This window comes from Homo sapiens, chromosome 2, assembly GCF_000001405.40.
Source record: "Homo sapiens chromosome 2, GRCh38.p14 Primary Assembly".
Taxonomy (NCBI): Eukaryota; Metazoa; Chordata; class Mammalia; order Primates; family Hominidae; genus Homo; species Homo sapiens.
In genome coordinates this window covers 104,531,848-104,538,548 of record NC_000002.12, presented here as the reverse complement: position 1 = coordinate 104,538,548, position 6,701 = coordinate 104,531,848, and the positions used below count along the sequence as shown (strand labels likewise).

Sequence of the window (6,701 nt, the reverse complement as noted above, 5' to 3'; positions counted from 1 at the left end):
GGGAATATATCTGTGCCATGGAAAGAGATATGGCATCTTTAAATTATGGGTAACGTAGATAAAGGGCTGGAGCTCTGCCAAGGTAAAAGTTGTAAAACTGGATTGATTTTTGCTACAGCTTGCTAAGGGCTCCCCAGAGCCGGGATGCAATGTTCAAATATAATAATTGATAGCCTGAAAAAATATTTCTGATAAGTGTGCAGAGGTAACGCAGAGCTCTGCCTGAGATGAAGTGAACCTTTGTGCTTCAGCAAACCCTACGATCAAAGTGACCCAGATCCCGGCACTGCCGTTGCCTTCTCTGATTAGAGCCACCCGGCTTCCTGCTCCCTTCTTCTTCCCTCCCCACTTCCACCCCTCCTGGCTTCCACCTCCTCCTGCCTGCGCTGCAGCTTCCTCCAGCTGCAGAGAAAATGGTCTTGGCCTTCAAATAGGGGCATTTGTTAAATGCTGTTTTGGAGAAGTAATTATCCAACCATCAGACCTGTATGTGTGGGGGGAAATCGCATTCATTAATATCACCTTGGTAATCCCAGGGGGCAGAGGGGTTCACGTTAATCTGACCCCTTTTCAGTCTTGCCTTGGTGAGCTGACCACCCCAAGCTGTGAGTGTGTATGTCTAAATTGCCCGGGATTCAATTGAACACATTAAAATTTAAAAAGGATTGAACTGAAATTTTTCAATAGCTTCTGAGAGGGGGGGATAATTTATTAGTTCGGAGTAAATTAAAATCTCAAGCAGGGGTAAAGACTCTGAAGATTGCTTTAATACATTTTATATGCTTTCAAAAGAAATGTTCTTTTAAATGGTCCAAAAATCAGCTAATTTTGTCCTATTTAGCAAATTACCTCCTAAGGCCACAATGTTGAAAAACTTAACAATTATTTTTTTTTAAAGCAAAAAATAGAGGGGGAGTGAAAAAATCACACACCTTCCATAGGAAACAACCAAATCCTAAATTGCTGTGTCTTTTATATGCCACAGTTAGGATTTTTTTTTTTTTTTACCTTTCTTAATTCAAAAGTCAGTGAAACATTTGCGTTACCTTCTGCCAGACCACACGGGGACCTTTTTTCCACATGGTGATTGCAGGCAGGAGGAGGGTGGAAGGTTAATGGAGGGGCATTGGAAGGCTAAGTCCCATGCGCCATGCTGATAATTTATACCTTTATTTCAGGCCACATTCACCTGTGGAGCAGCAAGGCCGTGGAGGTGACCTGAACTTGTTGCCCTGTTCAGCCCAGAGGCTGTCCCTATACTGACAGCAGATTTCTTGCTTTGAATTATCTGTGTAATAAAAGAGTCCTTCCGAGCTTCAACTGACATTCTGAGGCTGAGAGAGGAAGATCCATTTTTTTCCCCATCTAATTCTTTCTTTCACTTTTTTTTTCTGATGATGAAAAATTTTTTTTTTGGTTTGCATTTTGGAGGATTTTCTTAATGTGCTGCATACAGCTCTCGGCTTGTGGTCCACTGCGGGCTGTCTCTCCTCAGACTGGAATGATTAGGCAGTGAAAGAGACTTACCTTTTCCAAGGAGTACCTCTGTTTCAGAATTCAGGGTGGAGCATGCTGGCAACCTTTTGGGGGCACTTTAGATATGAATGAGTTTGAAGGCGTAGCTATGATCCTTTCAGAGGCCATTTAGTGCCAAACTGTATCCTGTGATTCATGTGTATATCCATCTGATTAAAGACAAGACGGGTGATAAAGAGAAAATAAAAGAAAATGAAGAAGAAATAAAAGAAGTGTGAACTAGTCAGCCTGAGAAGCTTGTTCCTGTTCTTTCTAATCAAAAATTCATTATTTAAGTGTCATACCTCTATTCTGGGTACCTGTGAAACACAGCCCTGGGGAGCAGGCAATAAAAATATGATGCCCCCTACACAGCTGTGACTTCCAGTTTCTTATTGCCCAGTCTAAAAAGCATCTGCTTCTATCCAGGGCTCATCAAAAAGATAAAAGGTAACCCAGACCTCAGGATTTTGGACTGATGTGAGGCCTGAAAGTATCACTCAATGGAAACAAGTAGAAATGATTTTTATGGTTGGTTGACTCAAATTTGCAAATTTGCATGTGGGACAAAAGAGTTGTAAGATATAAGATATAAGAGGGAAGAAAAAATTAGAAGAATTTCAAACTTAACAAACTGTTCTTAATGTTTTGGCAACCCAGGAGGTAAGAGGTCTTGTTTGTGAAAATTATCCAATTCTCCTTAAATGTCAGGAATTTACTTAGAAAGAATGGTGACTAATCTCAGTTCTCTTCATCCTCATTATTATTTCTGTATTTTCTAGTTCATTAATATCGGTTATCTTTTTATTTTTTTCCTTCTATTTCTTTGGACTTCTTTTCTAATTTTTCTAACTTATTAAGTTGAACATTTAGCTCATTAATTTTTTATTGTAATTACTGGTTTATTTGGAAATTTTATACTATGTTATTTTATGTTTTCAATTTTCAGTGACGTTGCTTATTTTTTCTTTTCTTTTTTTTGATTTTATTAGTTTGATGGCATTTCTTTATTTTTATCCTCTCACCTCCTTCTTGGATTGGAATGTGATTTAAGCATTTTATTTTGATGTTTCTAAAACTTGCACTACAGCTAGATTTAGCTAAGGAAGTATAGCCTTCTGGCCCCTAACATGCACGGTCCTCCTCGAAGCCATAGCAATGTGGCTCAGATGTTTCTGTAAAATTTGAAAAATTTAAATTAGTTTTTAATTCTTAAGAGAAAATAATGTAAGTTCCCCAGATTATATAGGACTCAGGTCCCCAAAATCCTGGTTCTGCAATGCCCTTATTATATTATTATTATTATTATTATTATTATTATTATTATTATTATTGACATGGAGTCTCACTCTGTTGCCTAGGCTGGAGAGCTCGATCTCGGCTCACTGCAGCCTCTGCCTCCTGGGTTCAAGTGATTCTCCTGCCTCAGCCTCCTGAGTAGCTGGGATTACAGGCGCCCACGCCCAGCTAATTTTTTTTGTACTTTTAGTGGAGATGGGGTTTCGCCATGTTTGCCAGGCTGGTCTTGAACTCCTGACCTCAGGTGATCTGCCTGCCTCGGTATCCCAAAGTGCTGGGGTTACAGGTGTGAGCCACCACACCTGGCCAATACCCTTACACTTGAACGAGCACTTTTGATGTGAAGAGTCTAAGCTTATCAGCATTTCTACTCTTTCCAAGAGGAACTAAATCCTTTAGCTCTTATCATCCCCTCTTTTTTTTTCTATGCTATTGTTGAATGGGATTTTGAGTCCTTGTTTTTAAGCTTTCCAAGTTTAGGTATACTTTTAATTTTTCTTAATAAGTCAGTTTAGATTCATTTATATTTATAAGTTGTCAAAATCATCAGTCTCTTGCAATTCACTTTTCATTCTTCTGTATTTAGTTTCTTTCTTTCTCTTTCTTTCTTTCTTTCTTTCTCTTTACTTCTTTCTTTCTTTTTCTTTCTTTCAATGGAATTTTGCTGTTGTTACCCAGGCTGGAGTGCAGTGGCGTAATCCCGGGTGACTGCAACCTCTGCCTCCCAGGCCTAAGCGATTCTCCTGCCTCAGCTTCCTAAGTAGCTGGGATTACAGGTGTGTGCCACCACGCCCAGCTAATTTTTTGTATTTTTAGTAGAGACAGGGTTTCACCATGTTGGCCAGGCTGGTCTAGAACTTGTGACCTCAGGTGATCCACCCACCTTGACCTCACAAAGTGCTGGGATTAAAGGCATGAACCACTGTGTCCAGCCTATTCAGTTTCTGTTCAACATCTTTTTTTAGTATTTCTTGACTAACAGTCTATCAATGCTATACTCTCTAAACTCATCTTTATTTTTCTTTTACTTGTAAATAACAGTTTAAGTGCCTGTAGGTTAAAAAGTTCTACTTTTTTCTGGCCTTTCTGATAGATGAAGAGTTGCCTGCAGTCAGCACCATGCGCTTCCTTTGTGAGCAATCTTAATTTTTTTCTAATTATCTTTAAGATATTTTCTTTGTTTTTATGTTTTCTAATTTTATTTTGATGGGTTTAGGTATAAATTTATTTTTACTTGTTTGGGAATCAGGGTGCTTCTCTAATCTGATTTTTTTCAGCTCTGCAAAATTATCAATTATTTTTTCTTCAAATATTCTTCTTGGTGGATTTCTTATTAGATGAATATAGGACATTATTTCTGTTGCTTAACTCTTTTGACACTTTACATTTTTTATTTATTTGTACTGCATTTTGAGGGACTTTTCTCAGAATTGTTTTCCAGTTTATTGAGTCTTTTGTCAGCTTTATCTAATCTGCTGTTTAACCTATCCACTGTTTTTAAACATATTAATGACCACGATTTTATTTGTTATTATAAGTGCCCAGCTTTTTTGCATATTTCTTGTTCTTTAGTTATGATTTGTATCTGGTGGGTTATTTAGTGTGGGAGGAGTCATATGCCACCACCCCAGTTGCATAGTTGTCTCTACAAAGCAACTTTACTTTTTTTTTTTTAGATTTATTGAGATTTCATATTACAGATAAAATCCCATTTAAGGCTCCCATACACCTGGATGATAATATAAATTTGATCTTCCCATGCACTCATGGCACAAAGTTGGTGTTTTGATTTCTTGCAGGAGACCTTTTTCTCCTTTATAGCTATCAGCAGGGAGAAAGTTACACTGCTGTTTCCCCAGGTTGGCGAGTGGAGCTAATTTCTCTTTGTGTGACCTAGACAGTCTTGGCTTTATAAAAATAGCTATTCCAGGGCTGGGTGTAGTGGCACACACCTGTAATCCCAGCACTTTGGGAGGGTGAGGTGGGTGGACCACCTGAGGTCAGGAGTTTGAGACCAGCCTGACCAACATGGTGAAACCCCATCTCTACTAAATACAAAGAGTTAGCCAGGTGTGGTGGTGCATGCCTGTAATCACAGCTACTTGGGAGGCTGAGGCAGGAGAATCACTTGAACCTGGGTGGCCGAAGTTGCAGTGACCCGGGATCACTCCAGCCTGGTGACAAGAGCAAAACTCCATCAAAAAGAAAGGAAGGAAGGAAGGAAGGAAGGAAAGAAGGAAGGAAGGAAGGACGGACCAGTCTGGGCAACAAGAGTGAAACTCTCCCTAAAAAAACAAACAAACAAAAAAAAAACAAAAAAAGCTATTCCAGCTCTCCACCTAGTTCAGGTGAGAGGTTTTCTCACCTGTTCCAGTGTGGTTGTTACAGTCACACCGTAAGCCCTAGGGTCTGTATCAAGGAAGATACTCCTGTGAGCAGTGGTGGCATCTGCTCTAGCTTTGCATGAGCTTTGAGATTCTAGTACTGGGAGGGTTCCTTCAGTCTTTTGAATTCGTTTGTGCATCGTTACCTGTTTTCAACATATTTATACATTCATATCAAGAGGTGGACTTCTCTACATTAGCTGGGTCTACCATATTGCTGAAGTCTCACATAGGTATTTAGAGCATTTACAGCTGCTTGAAATTTGTTATGTGACAAAGGGTTTCTTAGCATCTAACATGTTGGGAACAATGGCTATATTCAATGAGGAACTATTACATGATTTTTTTTCAAAGTCCTAATGGAAACCACTCAGACTGCATCCTCGCCTTCTTACTCTCCTGAAAGAAGAGAACGATCATCAATGGCAAACAGCAGCTGCAGCAAAACAACACCAAGAGCAGGCTCCATGCTCAGGAGAGATTGCTGTGCCTCCTTCTCATGGTTTCTGGTGCTCCACACTGTCAGAGAACCATCTCTGGTACTGAACTATAGAAAAGATCCCTAGAAGAATAGTCTTACATTACATAATTGGAAACAAGAGAGTGACATAGGTGTTGGTTTTTATTAATAAAACAGAACTTGTGCACTTGTACACATTTAGCAAGCATTTTAAGCATGCCAGCTGTTGTCCTCAGCACTCCATTGCAATATCTAATTTGATCTTGACTAAATCCTCTAATGCAGACACTGTCATTAACTCCATGTGAGTAAACATTTCAGCCGATGAGGAGACTCAATTAGAAGGTAGGTAACTTGATGAGGAAGCCTTACAGTAGGATTTAGAGCAGTATACCTTGAGTCAGTCCATGCTGTAGATATAGAAATGATGATAATGATTAATTAATTAGCAATAATAATAATAGCAAATAACATTTATTAAGTGCATATTATATTCCAGGCAATTTTCTAAGCACCTTTTATAAAATTAACCAATTTACATCACAAGAATCCCATAAGCCTGTTATTATTTTTGTCCCCAATTTACAGGTGAACAAAAACAAAGGCACAGGCTAAAAGTCACATAGCTAGTAAATGGTAGATTTTGGGTTTGAATACAGGTAGTCGGATTGTAAACCTCACCCTCAGAAATTATCCTCAGTGATAAGGGAGGATGAAAGATTAGTTAGCTGTGTTCTCCAGTGGTCCAGTAAGGAAGTAACCAGGGTTTGAGCTGAAATCGTCATAGTAAGAATGAGGGAAGGACAGATATTAGAGCCCTGAAGGAGTTGAAACAAAACCTCTTGGCTTCCTGTAGGTCTGGGAGATGGAGAGCCTGAGGGTCAGGGAGGACCTAAGGGTTATTTCCTGACCCCTGGCTGGTGTCAGATCGTAGTGCTTTTACCCAAAGTAAGGGTAAATGAGGAAGTTTTGGATGCAAACATGTGCTTTGCTCTTTAAAAGAAATATGAAGATGAAAAGTTTTGTTGAATTCAACTATTATT

The 6,701-nt window shown here is 39.1% G+C and overlaps 1 non-coding gene across 1 annotated transcript; it reads right to left on the bottom strand.

Annotated features, from left to right (window-relative positions):
- Positions 1-5,563: 5,563 nt before the first annotated feature.
- LOC124906193 (small nucleolar RNA U3) lies at positions 5,564-5,776 on the bottom strand. The gene has a single exon (XR_007088771.1). It is a non-coding gene; the product is annotated as a small nucleolar RNA U3 (small nucleolar RNA).
- Positions 5,777-6,701: the final 925 nt, after the last annotated feature.